This window comes from Homo sapiens, chromosome 9 (genome assembly GCF_000001405.40).
Source record: "Homo sapiens chromosome 9, GRCh38.p14 Primary Assembly".
Taxonomy (NCBI): Eukaryota; Metazoa; Chordata; class Mammalia; order Primates; family Hominidae; genus Homo; species Homo sapiens.
In genome coordinates, this window is record NC_000009.12 from 4,124,277 (window position 1) to 4,140,772 (window position 16,496).

Sequence of the window (16,496 nt, forward strand, 5' to 3'; positions counted from 1 at the left end):
AGGTTATAAAATTATGCTAAGGAATCAAATATGCCAGAAAACAATGAGATAATGACCCCTCTCTGGCCGACCCATAAAAGGGACTGCATAAGATACATGGCTTAAGCAGTCTGTGCCCTGACTACTGTCAGTTTCACCGTTAATTATACTTCTGCCTTCAAGGCATGGGCTGGACTTGCCACAGAAAGGAAGCTGAAGGCTTCCCAATGACACCCACCCCATGAGCACAGTTCATTTTACATGCAGCACTCAGCAAGTCTGAGAAGTCCCTTAAGGCATAATCATCAATGGGAAAATGACAGCAGCTTCCCATCACAAAAAGTCTCAGGTGAAAAACAAGTTTCTATCTCATGAAAAAATTGGCATAAATAAATGATTCAGGAACTATGATTTCAGAGTCTCAAATAGTGACTAGGAGGGACAGCACAGAGATACAAGAGGGGAGAACAGGATTAGGAGGAAGGAAAGGAAGAAGACACAAGACCTCAGAACTGCAAGGCACATAGCAGGTTACAGATCCTAAAGAAGAGGAAGCAGGGGCTTAGAGAGTAAAATTCCTTTGCAAGACCATAGTTATGGCAGAACTAGGACTAAGGCAGAAACTGTGGATTGTGTTTTTCCAAGAAAATAACTTCTAGAAGATAAAATAATTTATTTCAAACATAGACACAGACCTTAAACACTGTACAGTATTTTGGCTTTATGCCCCCTCCCACCTAATATCAACCTTGAGAGAGATAAAGCTTTGTCTGAGGGGGTGATTTCCCTTTTCTATTCAATTCCCTCCCTTGGAGATAGACACATGGCATTTATAGTACCTACTTACTATGGAACCTAATCGACATTGTGTTGAAATGTTATGTAACTCAAACACAAAAGTATGCCTTTCCAGACACATCATAAAGTCTTAAAATTTATGCTTTCTATCTTTACTCTCTCTACTAGGCCCCTAAACTTCAACTATTATATTATGCAGACAGTAGGAACTTAACAAATATTTAAGTAGATGGGTAGCTGGATGGATGCACAGATGGACAAGACAGATTGTTGAGCTGCCTGGAAACTCTGCATCATATTCATAGAAAACCTGGCAGGTAAGATAGGTGTACATGGACCATGCAAATTTGCTAGGCCATGATATGATTGCTTCACCAGAAATTGACAAATTTACACACCGTGTTTCAGTCACTGAGGCCCCACAATCTCAAATTAGGTATTCATGTCACTCACACCACAAGACAGTAGGTATTAAAGCATTCCTCCCAATTAAGATGATAAGATGGCACATACTTAGTTTTAGACATATTCCCCTACAAACCTCAAATTGAGAGAGTTGCTTGAGTGTGTAAGTGTATGAGTGTGTGTGTGTGTGTGTGTGTATTCAGAAAGAGAACGGAAAACACTTGTGGGGTGTGTTTATACCATAAAGAAAGGGGAAAAAAAAGTTAACTTGAGACCTGGTATCTGAAGGAGGTATATTCAGGTTGGCTGCATTCATTGCCCTCTGTAAGCTAGGACTGATCTGGTTGCATGCTGTAGAGACCTGGCTTGCTGGAGGTGAAATGAGTCCCAGTCGCTGAACCATCATGGGACTGCTGGTGACCACTAGATTGTTGCAGCTGCCTTTTCCAATGGACTTGCACTGAGGCCCAAAGCCAAGAGCCCCTAAAAACAAATGAATCAGGTTAGCTTTCATGTCCCTTACATCAGAAATCAGTAAATACAGACATGTGCACGCTTATATCAGGACCCATCTTTAGAGACAGTCCTCAGATCATTTTTTTTTTTAGTATTGGTGATAGCAAAAGGCTTTCTCCAATTCCAATGACAAAGCCATAACGCTATAATAGAAACCTTTCCATAATCAGCACTCATACAAAATGTGCTTAAATTTTACTCCTTCTATGTAGAAGTGTCCAGTTATATTAAAAATCATATTTTATAATATCCTTACCTAAAGGGTTAAGGTGGTAAGTAGATGGGATTGCCTGTATCAAACCAAGTTTTTTCCTAGAATAGCTAATATCTTGAATCACCCAGCAAGGAAAGTTGACACTACTGGAAAAAACCTGTTTAACTGGTTTACTTCATTCCAAATCTGTACTTCCAAAAAGTCCCTTCACAAGGATGTAGTCTGGCTGTGTCTCTCTACTCTTGATTTTTTTTCTCCTCATCTCAACACATTGTCATTGGACATCTACTCAATTTTTTAAAATATCAGGATGAGAGAGTTGTAAACAAAATGCTCATTTGAAAAACAGCATGGTAACCAAATTGGACATAGATTTTTCATTTTCATTAGTAACAATCTTTCAGTGTAGTAAAAGCTGGTACATACCCAAAGGGGAAAGAAAAAAAGGAACCCACAAGAATCTGTGTCGTTATGGAAAAGTGAAAAGCAAAGAGTTTGAGAAAGGCAAACACTGCCATGACTCATTTATAAAAAAATCATAATGAGCTGAATCATTCTAGACATTCTTTTTACATGGATGCACTTTTTCAAACTTTTTTTGTCAACTACCTGGTCAAGTCTCAGTAACTATACACTCTGTTCCCATTTCTAGCAAACAAAAATATATACGATCTCAATCTTTAACAAATTAAGCTTTACATTGCAAATTTCCCATCTTTTTCATTGATATATTTGGGATCGAAGTAGGAAGAAAAGTGTCACTGTCACTTTTCTTAGCTGTAGGGGTCATAATTTCCTATTTTGTTTTCCCCAAAATTAAATCAATAGCCCAAAAGTGCCTTTGTCATCTTTTGTAACATTCTTCCCAAGAGCCCCCCAAAACAATAGAACAAACAAGACATTGGAGCAGTCACTGTTTCCATCAGTGCAGCCCTATCTCAAAAATGCTGGGGGAGTCACAGCATCATTAGCTGCCAGGAATCCTGGTCTAGTGCAGACTTATGGGACACTAAAATCCAAGTGGTAATTGACCTGCACAAAATCACACAGGGATTTAAAGGGAGAACAGAAACTGATTCTACGAGAATGTATTTTTATGACACCTGTGTGCTTAAATTTAGGCTCTGATATGCCTAGTTTCTTCCTTGTACACTTTCCAAGATCATTTGCTCCAAAAGAAATTTCTCTGATTTTCTTTCCCAGATACATAAACCAGAACCTCTCCTTGACCCCTCCCATTGCAGTTTATATCTGATCCATCTTCTTGTGCCTTAAAAGATCAGTTATAGATATTCTGTTTTCGTAACTCATAAAGCACTGTATTATCCGGGCTTCATCTTGACACCAAGAATAGTAGGTACACTTTTATGTAACTGCATCATAAATTCAATATCTTTAAAAATCTCAATAAGCTACATGCATTAGCTTTTCATATTCCCTTTTTACCTTGAAAAAAAGGCAATGTGATGGTTCATAGCCTAGTCCAGTATATAAGACTGAATGAATGAATTCTCTATATGAATTCTTTCCCCAGGTCCCATTGCTACTAGCCACTATTATTAAAAGCAACATCAATTATCAAGTATTCTGTCAAATTTAATGTCATATATTTATCTAAGGAACTCAGTCATTCCATGCCTATTTCCTTTTCAGAAAAAAGGTATTAATATCTATCTACCTCTAAAACAAAGATATAGCAGCTGGAACAGCATCCAAGGAATACTACTTGATGGCAAAACATACCAATAGATTATTTCATAAAACTAAAATGGCACATATTGTAAGGTGTACCATTATTTTACGTACCAGTAAGAACATGAACTGCCAGTCCAACTAGTGCATGATGTCCAGATTTCAGAGATGTTGTAATGTAAAAACATGCACACCTTAGAGCCAATACAAACTAATGTGATCACTGAAACATTTATTTTAACCCTTATCTTGTTCATGCTCTTCTCTTTGCCTGGAATGCCCTTACCCTAACTTATCCACCTAGTGAGCACCTCTGCATCTTTAAGGTCTCAATGCAAGGGTCACCTCCTATATGACCTCCTCCTCCACTACCTGTTAGGCAGATCTGACCACTGCTTCTTTCATTTGTCCACATCTCCCATCACACATGTGCCTCAGCACCTATAGTGCTTCAGGGAACTAAACTCTTTACATGCCTGCCATCTTCTCACTTTTATACTTCACTGCTGTTTAAAGACAAAGCTCTTGTTTGAAGCATCTCTACTTCCTTAGCACCTAACCTAGGGTCTAATGCACATTACATAATAAAGTCTATCCAGTGAAATTAGAATGAATGAAAGAAAACAAAAGATACTTATAAGTGAATATTAAATACTGACAAGTTATTCCACTGAAACTCTCCTGGTCATCTTTGTTGATGATATACAGTACCATTTTTCAAAAAGCAGAAACAAAAAAACTCCAAGTCAATCCTTTGATGTCTCTCCACATAATTGCTAACTAGATCTGAATGGAATATGAAGTCAGTGGGGGTAGTAATTATAAATCCATCTTCCTGGGCCAGAATTTTACACTGGTCAAGGCTGCCTCTGTAACTCTCTACTCTGGATTCATACATTCACATTGTTTTCTTGCTTTGTAATAAAGAAATGCTAATTATCTCCCTAGTATCTCCACATTCTTACTATACCACCTCCTACTCCCAAATTCACTGGTCAACTTTACACTTTACACTCAAGTGTAAAGCCAAAAGGCCAAGAAGCGATCACTGGTCAACTTTAACCCCATCTAAGCACAAATGGTGTCACAAATGGTATCCTTGAAGCATGAAAATTAATGGTGAACTTCTTGGGAACATGTAAATGTTTGTGGTACAACTATGAGGATGTTCTGGAAAATGGAAAATGGCAACATCTGTCTCACACATGCAGGCAAACAAGTCTGACCAAGAACCACTGTGCTCAATACAGCCATCTAAGTGTTTTTCATAATGCCAGAAACATAATGAACACCTATACCTCCAGACTTCTCAGAATTGTGCAGTGTCTTGGAGTGTGGGCTCTGGAGATAGCTTGCCTGGGATCTGCTATTTGGGGACTTACGCAAATTACTTAACATTTTTGTGCCGTATTTCTCCATGTCTATGTCTTCTCATCTGCCAAACAGGGATAAAGTTAACCCTCCCTCTGATATGGTTTGGATCTGTGTCCCCACCCAAAACTCACATTCAACTGTAATGACCAGTTTTGGAGGTGGGGCCCAGTAGAAGGTGATTGGATCATGGGGGGTGGATCCTTCATAAATGGTTTAGCACCATCCTTTGGTGCTGTTTTCATGATAAGTGTTCTCATGTGATCTGGATGTTTCAAAGTGTGTGGCACCTCCCCCTCTCTCTCTTCCTCCTGCTCCAGCCATGTAACACATGCCTGTTTCCCCTTCGCCTTCCACCATGATTGAAAGTTTCCTGAGGCCTCCCCAGAAGCTTCTATGCTTCCTGTTAAGTCTGCAGAACCATGAGCCAATTAAATCACTTTTCTTTATAAATTAGCCAGGCTCGGGTATTTCTTTATAGCAATGCGAGAACAGACTAATACCAAGGAGTGGGGCATTACCATGATACCTGAAAATGTGGAAGAAGCTTTGGAATTGGGTATGGACAGAAGTTGAAAGAGTGTGGAGGACTCAGAAGAAGACAGGAAGATGTGGAAAATAGTGGAACTTCCTAGAGACTGCCCGAATTATGACCAAAATGCTGACAGTGATATGGACAGTGAAGTCCAGGCTGAGGAGGTCTCAGATGGAGATGAGGAACTTGTTGGGAACTGGAGCAAAGGTCACTTTTATTATCCATTAGCAGTGAGGTTGTAGGCATTGTGCCCCTGCTCTCGGGATCTGTGGAACTTTGAATTTGAAAGTGATTTAGTGTATCTGGAGGAAGAAATTTCTAAGCAGCGAAGAGTTCAAGATGTGGCCTGGCTGTTTCTAACAACATGTGTTTATATATGTGAGCAAAGAAATGAGCTGAAACTGGAAGTTATATTTAAAAGGGAAGCAGAGTGTAAAAGTTTGGAAAATTTACAGCCTGGCCATGTGGTAGAAAAGAAAAAAGCGTTTTCAGGAGAGGAATTCAAGCAGGCTGCAGAAATTTGCATAAGTAAAGACAAGGCAAGTACTGACAGCCAAGACAATGGGGGAAGGCCCCAAAAGCATTTCAGAGAACTTTCTGGCAGCACCTCTCATCACAGGCCCAAAGGCCTAAGAGGGAAGAATGATTTTATGGGCCAGGCCCAGGGCCCTGCTGCACTGCACAGCCTCCAAACACTGCTCCCTGCATCCCAGCAGCTCTAGCTCCAGTCTTGGCTCAAAGGGGCCCAGGTACAGCTCAGGCCTCTGCTTCAGAGGGTGCAAACCATAGACGACTTGGTGGCTTCCACATGGTCTTAAGCCTGTAGGTGCACGAAATGCAAGAGTTGAGGCTTGGAAGCTTCTGCCTAGATTTCAGAGGATGCATGGAAAAGCCTGGATGTCCAGACAGAAGCCTGCTGCAGGGGTAGAGGCCACACGGAGAACCACTTCTAGGGAGGCGTGGAGGTGAAATGTGGGGTTGGAGCCTCCACACAGTCTCCACTGCAGTACTGCGTAATGGAGCTGTGACAAGAGGGACACCATCTTCCAGACCCCAAAATGGTAGGTGCACTGTCAGCTTGCACCCTGCACCTGGAAAAGCCACAGGTACTCAATGCCAGCCCATGAAAACAGCTGCCAGGGCTGCACCCCACAAAGCCTCAGAAGCAGAGCTGCCCAAGGCCTTAGGAGCCCACCTCTTGCACCAGTGTGGCCTGGATGTGAAACAAGGAGTTAAAGGAGATTATTTGGGAGCTTTAAGATTTAATGACTGCCCTAGGGGGGGTTGGGGCTTGCATAGGACCTATAGCCCCTTTATTTTGGCCAATTTCTCCCTTTTGGAATGGGAATGTTTACCCAATGTCTGTACCTCCATTGTATCTTAGCAGTAATTAACTTGTTTTTTGATTTTACAGGCTCATATAGGTGGAAGCACTAGCCTTGTCTCAGATGAATCTTTAGACTTTGGACTTTTGAGTTAATGCTGGAATGAGTTAAGACTTTGGAGACTGTTGAGATGGGATGATTGTATTTTGCAATGTTTGAGGACATGAGATTTGGGAGGGGTCAGGGTGATATAATATGCTTTGGATCTGTGTCCCCACCCAAATCTCATGTTCAATTGTAATGCCCAATTTTGGAGGTGGGGCCTGGTGGGAGGTGATTGGATCAGTGGGATAGAGCCTTCATGAATGGTTTGGCACTGTCCCTTTGCTGCTATTCTCGTGTTAGAGTTCCCATGAGATCTGGTTGTATAAAAGTGTGTGGCACTGCCCATGGCTCTCCCTTCCTCCTGCTCCAGCCATGTAAGATGTGACTGCTTCACCTTCACTTTCTGCCATCATTGAAAGTTTCCTGAGGCCACCCCAAATACTGTTATGCTTCTTGTTAAGCCTGCAGAACTGTGAACCAATTAAACCTCTTTTCTTTGTAAATTACCCAGTCTCAAGTATTTCTTTACAGCAATGTGAGAACGGACTAATACAACCTCATAAGGTTGTTGTGCATCTAGTATTAACAACATACATAGAGGACTCAGCACACTATCAAGCACGCAGTAGGTACTTAATGGATGTTAACTGCTACTGTTGTTATTGATACTATGATTGTTACATGCCTGTCATTGCTTTTTTGCTCCATTCTCTTTCTAAAGAAAATATTCCTTTATAATTCCTTGCACAAAACAAGATAGTAAATAATGCTGTTTAATTCTCTTCTCATTTCCAATATTCTTTCTGCTTTAAGTCTACGGCCAATGTTTTTTTTAAAAAAAAAAAAAAACAAAAAACCACATGTCATCACAGAAGAAAAGTTTCCTGAAAACAAACCATACAACTTTTCTGACTACCAGATGTGCCAATGACTTGTGCACTGGTTTTCATTTTGAAACACTGCTTATTTTTAGAGACTACATGATGTATTTGAAACATGTGTTTACTGCTCAAATGAGGACCTAAGTGGATGGCATTCTGAGTACCACATACATTCTAGCCAAAATCACTGTATGCTAGTAGGGAATGCAAACGTTTTGCATTTTCAAATTTCTGAACCTAGAGTTCACCTTAGCAGGGCATGTTTTTAATTAATGTCTTCATTAGTTAAAAGGGTTCTCTTGAAGTCAAATGGCTGATTATGTCACAATTATCACTACTGAGGCTGCATCATTCAGAACTATTTATGTGTATCCACTGGTTTTAAAAATGACATAGATACAGGGGGAACAAGAATGAAATATATCTGGGAAGAGCGGAGAGAAGCAACCAACAATAACGTTATTGTTCGTTATCTGACACTTATCAAATGCCAACCACTAGCCAGGCAGTCCACAGAGACAATGGTGAGCAAGATTAACCCAGTCCCCCATGGAGCCCACAGTCTAGCCATGAAGATGCACACCAAACCAACCATTCATTATAAAAGAGGTGATCCCTGCTCCTAGGCTGGGTCATATAAAATGATATTCTTAATAGGTCCAAAATGATCATACGAGAGCAATTTCTATATGGTTCAACCTAACACACACACAAGGTGTTACAGAAACAGAAATATACATATTAGGGTTTGAGTCTTGCCTCCCGCCCTTACTGGCTGTGTGATATCAGGAAGGTCCTTAAGGTCTCTGTGCCTCAGCGTACTGTTCTAAAATGGGGTCAGTAATAATACCTAACTCATAAGGTTGTTCTGAGGATTAAAAGGGTTAGTAAATATCAATATATGCCTCACTGCCTCTAAGCAGCAGGGTTTTCTTCCCACACTTTTCCTTGAAAACATTTTTAAAGCTACAGAAATGTCACAAGAATAGAACATTAGATAAAGTTGAAGCTCATCGTACTATCTATCTATCTAACCATCTCTATATATAAACTTATTTTGTATTACAGTATTAATTTTTGAACCATTTAAGAATAAGTTGCAGATTCCATGTCCTTCATTCCTAAATATATAACCATAATATAATCATTGAATTCAAGACACTTAGCAATGATATAGTATTAGTATGTAATATGCCATCTACACTCAAATGTAACTTATGGAACAATTGTTTTCCAATCCAGGATCATGCATTGCAAACATAGGTTTTGAGACTCCCATTCAGGTGGGCATTCAAGAATGGGTTATCACCAACTAGGGTTGGGATATCACTCGACACTTGGGTACTAAAAACAGACAGAAAAGTGGAAAAGATGGTGGAAGGAAAGAAGTGAGAGGTTAACAGTACATAACACAGTAGCTAAGAGCCATAGATTTCCATCCTGGCTCCACCACTGACTAGCTGTGTGACCTTGGACAAGTTACTTAAGCTCTCTGTGCCTCAGTGTCCTGATCTCCCAATGAGGTTAACACTAGCAGTTACCTCAGTTTGGAGGATTAAAAAGTCTAATATATGTAATAGGGCCTGGCACTTAATACATTGTTAGTTCTATTTATATTTTATTAAAGAACTTGTCTCTCATATGGTACCTTTCTGATATTGTTTCTAGCACCTCTTCTCCTGAGTGCCCAGAAACAGCATGCTGATGCCTTCCTGCCCAAGACCTTCTACACACACACACACACACACACACACACACACACACACACACACACACACCGTACATCTGTCCTCGCCTGAACGGGATCCAGGTTTTATTTAGGCCATTCTAGTTCCTCATATCCATTTTCTCTTTCTCTCAGCTATTTTAGAAAACAATGATTACTTCGAACTAAGGTGTCAGGGACTAGCAAAATACCTCAAGAACATTTTACTGCAAAACACTAATACAACAGAAAATAAGTAAAATTTCAAAACGTGGCAAGAAAGACTGAAAGGAATTTTTTTTAAAACCTCTCAACCATACCCTTTTACTGTGCAAACCTGTTTTATATAAGCCTGGCCCTTTTATTTCCTAGCAAGCACAAATTCAACTACAATTGAAGTAGAGTTGAAAGCCAATTTAGATCACTTGCAATTGAAGTTTTTGCAACTTTGAGGCTCAAAGTTTCCCATTATTTTTAGTTCTAAGCACCTAACTATCCCTAACTGGCAAGGCTTCCTTTAATAATGAAATCAATGCCTAATATAAAATATGAGTCTTACACCTCCTTCAAAAGCAAATAAGTCCCAGATGCTATTGGAAAATATTTTTATTTTGCATGGGAAATGGTGGCTGGCCTCCATACCCAGCTTGTGAATGTAACTTTGGTCATTTAGCAGAGTAATTTTACCTCTTAGCCTTAGTTTCTTCCATCTCTAAAAGACAAATAATACTATACACCCTACATGGTTGCTTCGAGGATGAGTGAGACCCAACATATATGATGTGCCTGCTCAGTAAAGAGTAGTTGTAATTTTTGTTAATGTTATTGTCATGATTATGTTACGGAATGATATTTTTAGTAATGCAAATTGAGCCATAATGGGGAGAATGATTATCTAACTTAGGTGTGCAAAATGGTAGGAACACTTCTTTCTAGCCATTTTTTAAAAAAGGAACTGTCTCTCAGTATGCCCTTCTCTGTCAAAGTAGAAAGAATAAGCGGGGATGAGTAGTTCAGGAAACCTTCTTGTTTTCCTTTGGGGACTAAGCTTACCATGGAAAGACAGAGTTCTTTGCCACACGGTATACACCTTACCTAGAAGGCTTGTCCTGAAAGAGCTGCCCTGGACTAGGGAGATAAGATGGCCTAATTCTACAGTGCAGTCAGCAGGTCCACTGGACTCTCACACAAAGTTATGCCTTCCAACACATCCTCTATCAGAAAAAAAAAGATATTCTGGTGGGAAAGAAATACATTATTTATTGTGGGTCCCCTCATAGACCCCAAATTATGTTAGGAATTACGGCATATACATTTCATCCCTAAGGTTTATTAGCTTAACACATGTCAAAGCGTTGTCTAGAATTGTCTACTTAGATAGCATTATCTCTCTTTTATTTGGGATTATCTTTATTGCTATTTTAAATTTAAAAATAATATGTATTTGTGTATGTGTCCATGTGCTTTAAAAGGCAAATAATGCAAAGTTATAAAAAGAAAAAGCTCATAATCCACCCCCGACATCTATCATTCCCTTAAGGTAATGAACTCTAACAGGTGAATGTGTATCCTCCCACATTCTTCTCTGAATTCATTCAAATATGAGTATGTATGTTCTAATTCTAAAGGCAATGTGAGTTAGGCACACATTGACCCCTATATTCTTGAGAGAAGTCATCGAACTATGACTGTTTTGACAAAGAATAATGTCTCTAAGCATTATTACTTATTACTCTAAACTCTTACTGCTACTCTAAACATTATTATATTACTCAAATAACATATCTAATATAATATACATATTCATTCTTATAATGAAATATAGGTACCCACCAATAAATAAAGAATAGAATCTTAGGCAAGGCATAGTATCAATCCAAGCCTTTCCTCTTTTCTCAAATGGGAGAAACATCAAGTATATGAAAGAACTTTGAAAAGTATATTCTTTCACCACAGAAAGAAACAAGTACCCTTCTCTCCCATCTGCTATGCAAAAACAGATCGATGAAGGTAAGCACAGGTCATCAAATTCTCTCACCTTTCATGAATACTCCTCCTTAGAGCTAGAAACATCCTGCATACCAAACACCCTAGGCTTGCTATGTAGTGTTTTGTCAAATTCATAATATTTCACTGCTGAGATACATTAGTAACAATTTAATGAACATATGTGACTGTATGGTGTATTACTCTGAAATACAGTAAGGCATGGCTAAATGGCTACGAACACCAAAGGATGACAATTAGAATGAAATAACCGGCTCCTATATTCAGGGGCAAAGCAATCGAATTTGGCAATTGTGACAAATGCTCAAAACTGTGCAAAACCTATGGAAGGTAAGGAATGCTGGATATAACATCCTACCTCCATGGCGCTCACAACCTCTGAAGAGATAAGATATACTCACCTAGGAACAATCGGATAATGTCGCTAGACTGTACAGTATTAAGCATGAAGCTAAATCATAGAGACAGGAGCTCAGAGGAGGAGGGCAATCCCTTTGTACTAGGTAATTCATCAAAGAAGAAGAGTATGAACTACAAACACGTTTCCCAAAGTCCTTCAGGATGTCCAAAGATGTTAAATGACAATGAAGTTGGCCTCATGGAGATGTCCACAGTCCAGTAAGCTTGGGAACCCCTAATACAACAAAGTTAAACATATCTCTTTACTGTAAGTCTTCAGGAGCCTTTAAAAATGTAAATGCATGTGATAAATCTCCCAGAAGACCAAATAATATTTAAAGTACATTTGTTTAGGGAGGTTTTTCCCAAGGGACTCATCTAAGACTGGCATTCTAAGGAATACCCTTTAGAAAAGAATAAGCTAAAACATGAAGGAAGAATGAGCACACAAATGAGAAGGAAGTAGTAGGGTGTAGACACAGAAACGAAAGGGAGGAGGCACAATGCGTCCTGGAGAAACAAAGATGAGCTAGGGCTGCCTACAAGAGGAGAAAGGGAGAAGACAGAGCTTAGAGGGTTGGTTCAATCAGCCCTGAAGAACTGATTTAAAAGCTGGACATTACTTATCCAACAGTGGTTCAAACCTGGCTACATATTGGCATCACCAGTGAAGCTTCTCAAATGCAAATTCCTAAGCTCCACTGCAAACCAACTAAACCAAATGATGCTGATATAACTAGTCACCTGATGTGCATCTGGGACCTTGTGCTATAGGTAGTGGCGCATCCCATTAGGAGCAGAGTTCACCCAAGATTAATCTGGAAGAGATGGGGAGAAAGGCTGGAGGAGCACATGAACCAGCTGTACAGACGGCATAGCAGCCACAGGGTGGTAAATGACAAAATAAGAAAGCAATGGTTATGAAGCAAGTTAGAGTAAGGATTTTATAATTAGTTGCTAAAGATTTAGGCGATCACATTTAAATGGGAGAGGGGGGCCATATAATGTCTATTTGGTGACTTCATTACAAAGACAGCCAATAAATAGGTCAAATCTGAACCCAGGGAGATTCGCATGAATCATGCAATCTCCTACCACCTTGTCTTCAGGAGTTCAGCTTGAATCTTCCATGTTTATCCCACAAAGAACATAACTTTCATACCAACATTCTTCCAACCTTAGTCAGCATTCAGGAATGCTGTCCACCAAGTATGGAATCACCAGCATTACTCACTGCAATTTATCCCTGTATTAAATGGAATCACATTTATACCCAAGAGATTAAAATGTATCATATTCCTTTCTGTACCACTCAGTGCCCTGGATTCCTGTGCATGGAGCCTCAATCTTGCTCCCCACCACTGGGCACTCCCAGTAAGATGATATTATTAGGAACCTACATCTCTGAGCCACTTCATAAGGATGCAAAGATAAATTAAGCAATATTCCTGGAGTTTGTATTCTAAAGTCCCATCCGTCAGCTATTGTATATCAATTATCAACTAATTAGTAGAGAGTGCTCATGCTGACCCCTCTGTTCTCTCTTGTAATGATTTGCCAAGTTAACTGAAAGCTGCTCTGCTCCATAGAGACTCTTAGTATAGCAAGAGTGTTAAATAAAGTTCACCAACAATTAGCCTGGAAAACCAAAGAGGAAATGTAAGCACATTTTACTGCTTCTCCCTCGACAAATTTTCTAGCAATCCCAGGGGAAGTAAGCAGATACATTTGTTAACTAAGCAAACAAGTACTCTGAAAAACTGAAACACCAGCAGAGGCACAACTTAGTAATTTATTGCTCACAGATCAGGTATTTGTTTATTGTGTCCCTGCTCTGTGCTACACTATATACTCTAGGGATTGTGGACACACAGATGAGTCAAATCATTCTTGCCTACCATCTAATTTAATAGGCTTAGATCAAGCCTCATCTGGTGGACACATCTGTGAAAATATATAAAAGTGGAATTATTATACTTACTGTGGAAAAAGAGGACTTCCACAAATATAAGAAAGAATGAATGGAAGGGAGGGAGAACGCATATTGTCATGGGAGAAAACTGCCTCAGTTTCCCAAAGACACATTTACTGGGTGTTAGGCTTGGTCCTAGGCCGTACAGCTAGCCCTTGGTCAAAGATCTTACAACCAATTGGAGAGAGTGTTAACTAACACAGGAAACAATTGGCAAACACCTAATCTTAAATTGAGTTGCTTCACTGCTGAGTACAAAAAGAGCTCAAATGAGGAAAAGATCTGAATACACTGGAGGAGGCTTAGTAGAGGAGTGAGACTTCATCTGAGCCTTTTAATGGCAGGAGGAGAGGGGGCAATATGAAGAGTTGGATGGCCAAAATGAAGTGAGGTGCATGTGCTGAGGAAGTATTATGGAGGCAGCATGGGGGAAGCCGTAAAGAATGAGACACTAGGGCCAGAATAGCTTCCCTTACCAGCTGTGTGACCTTGGGCAAATGCCTTAAGCTCTCTGTGCCTCTATTTCCTTGTCTGGGAAATGGGGATGATAATTGTTCCCACCTTCATAAGGCTGTTTGGAGTATGAAATAAGTCACGTATGTAGACCACTTACAACAGTTTCCAGCACACAGTAAGTACTCTATAAGCTGTAGGCATTCATATTCTTACTAAGATGTTATCAGATTGCACACAACCTCCAAAACCAGGCACCCCAAAGAGCTACAGTAGACTTGCAAGCATGGGTATGTTGTAAGGAGGGAGCAAGAAGATAACAGTCTATTTCCAGTACATTTAGAAGCAGAGCAAAGGCTGAAGGCAGGAAACCAAGCTAGTAAGATGTTGCCATAATCTCAGGGTGAGACCAGGCTGGGAAGAGCAAACGGAGCAAACAGGGTAAAGCCCAACTTATCTTATTAAGAAAACAAGTAAGATGGTTGCTGAAGTGCCTTTAAGGAATACTAGATTCAGAACCTTTCTTCCATAAATCAAGGTTGTATATCTCTCAACCTGCTTTTTCCCCTGCCCCAAGCCAAACAAAAGCAGAGGCTGGGTGAGAAATGGCAAAGCTGCCTCTGGGTGAGACCCCTCACTGTACGGAGCAATGACTGGTATCCCCCAGACAGCAAGTGCTCACCAAATATCTGTTGGATGAATAGGTAATGAATACAACTTTTAAGAACAATTCATAAGTCAAGTACAGTTCAAGGCCACGAATCAAATTGAGCAGTTCCTCTGAAATGTGTGTAAGTCATGATGCTAAAGAAGACTGAGGTCCCTGGTGGACACAACTGTTGATATGTCTCTAAATTACTCAACAGACAGAAATATTACTCGTTCGCCCCCTCTGTCCATATTCCCTCCTGTTACATACAGATACACACAAACACATTCAGTGTGAAGGGAGGGTAGTCTAAGCCAGCAGTCCCCAACCTTTTTGGCCCCAGGGACTGGTTTCATGGTTCGTGGTTTCATGGAAAGCATGGAAGGGGTGGGCACGGTTGGGTGGGGTTCAGGATGAAACTGTTCCACCTCAGATCATCAGGCATTATAATTAGATTCTCGTAAGGAGCACGCAACCTAGATCCCTCACTTGCACAGTTCACTATGGGGTTTCTGCCTCTATGAGAATCTAATCCCACTGCTGATCTGACACGAGGCGAAGCTTGGGCTGTAATGCCCACTGCTCACCTGCTGTTGTGTGGCCTGGTTCCTAACAGGCCACTGACCCATACAGGTCCACGGCCAGGCAGTTGGGGACCCCTGGTCTAAGCTACTCAATATAAATCAATGGGACTTTTTTTTCAGTATGTAAGAGCTGGTTCAGAGGCAAAATCGCAGCCAATTCTTCATATTAGATATAACTTCTTAGCCTGTAAAAGGCATATCTTACATAGTCGTCATAGCCGCCAGACCAGGTAGATCGCTTGAGCTCTGGAGTGTGAGACCAGCCTGGACAACATGGCGAAACGCTGTCTCCACAAAAAATACAAAAATTAGCCAGGCATGGTGGCGCGTGCCTATAATCCCAGCTACTTGTGGGGCTAAGGTGGGAAAATTGCTTGAACCTGGGAGGTCAAGGCTGCAGTGAGCCAGGATGGCACCACGGCACTCCAGCCTGGGTGACAAAGTGAGACCCTGTCCCCAAAAAACAAAAACAAAACAGAACAAAAAAAGCCACCAGACTACCTTTGTTTTTCCCTAAGCAGTAATTTCCCATTACTGTCCAAAAAGACACATTCTCTATCATAAATTGTTTCTGCTCCATATTCTGCATGGGCTTGCAAGTCCAGATGGGATGCCCAGAAGCCTCAGACCCAGAGGGAAGGAAAATAGTAATGAAGATTACATTATTTTGCATTAAAATGAAGTCACCCCTATTTCCAAGAAATGGAAAGTACCCAGCTTCCTCCCAGAAGTCCCCCAGAGCTGCTCAACTATCTCATAGGCCAGATACCCTTTCCTCCTCTAGACTGTAATTGTTAACTCTGAGCTCCAAAGCCCATTCAGCAGCTCATGTTTATGGCAAGAAAATTCAGCGAGCTATTATTTGTATTTTGTGCTCCTTCGTCTCAAGAGAGGTTATTATAAAAG

At 40.4% G+C, this 16,496-nt stretch overlaps 1 protein-coding gene across 20 annotated transcripts in view, besides 1 other annotated feature; it reads right to left on the minus strand.

The window, feature by feature from the left end:
* GLIS3 (GLIS family zinc finger 3) overlaps window positions 1-16,496 on the minus strand; it is a 666,339-nt gene that overhangs the window by 300,150 nt on the left and 349,693 nt on the right. For 17 of the 20 annotated variants that reach the window (XR_007061257.1, XM_047422890.1, XM_011517763.3 and 14 more), the window contains one exon: window positions 1,458-1,665. The exons of the other annotated variants lie outside the window; for them this stretch is intronic. Coding sequence is in view for 16 of the 17 variants with exons in the window: in XM_047422890.1 (XP_047278846.1) it covers window positions 1,458-1,665 (208 nt within the window). In the remaining variant the exon portion in view is untranslated. The remainder of the gene's footprint in view (window positions 1-1,457; window positions 1,666-16,496) is intronic. 20 annotated transcript variants of the gene reach the window in all.
* Window positions 12,387-13,586: an enhancer, noted in NCBI's record as "P300/CBP strongly-dependent group 1 enhancer chr9:4136663-4137862 (GRCh37/hg19 assembly coordinates)". NCBI's record gives its function as "activates an origin of replication core promoter dependent on BRD2, BRD4, P300/CBP, MED14 and CDK7 cofactors, with strong dependence on P300/CBP, by STARR-seq in HCT116 cells {active_cell/tissue: HCT116}" and the evidence as "EXISTENCE:reporter gene assay evidence [ECO:0000049][PMID:35650434]".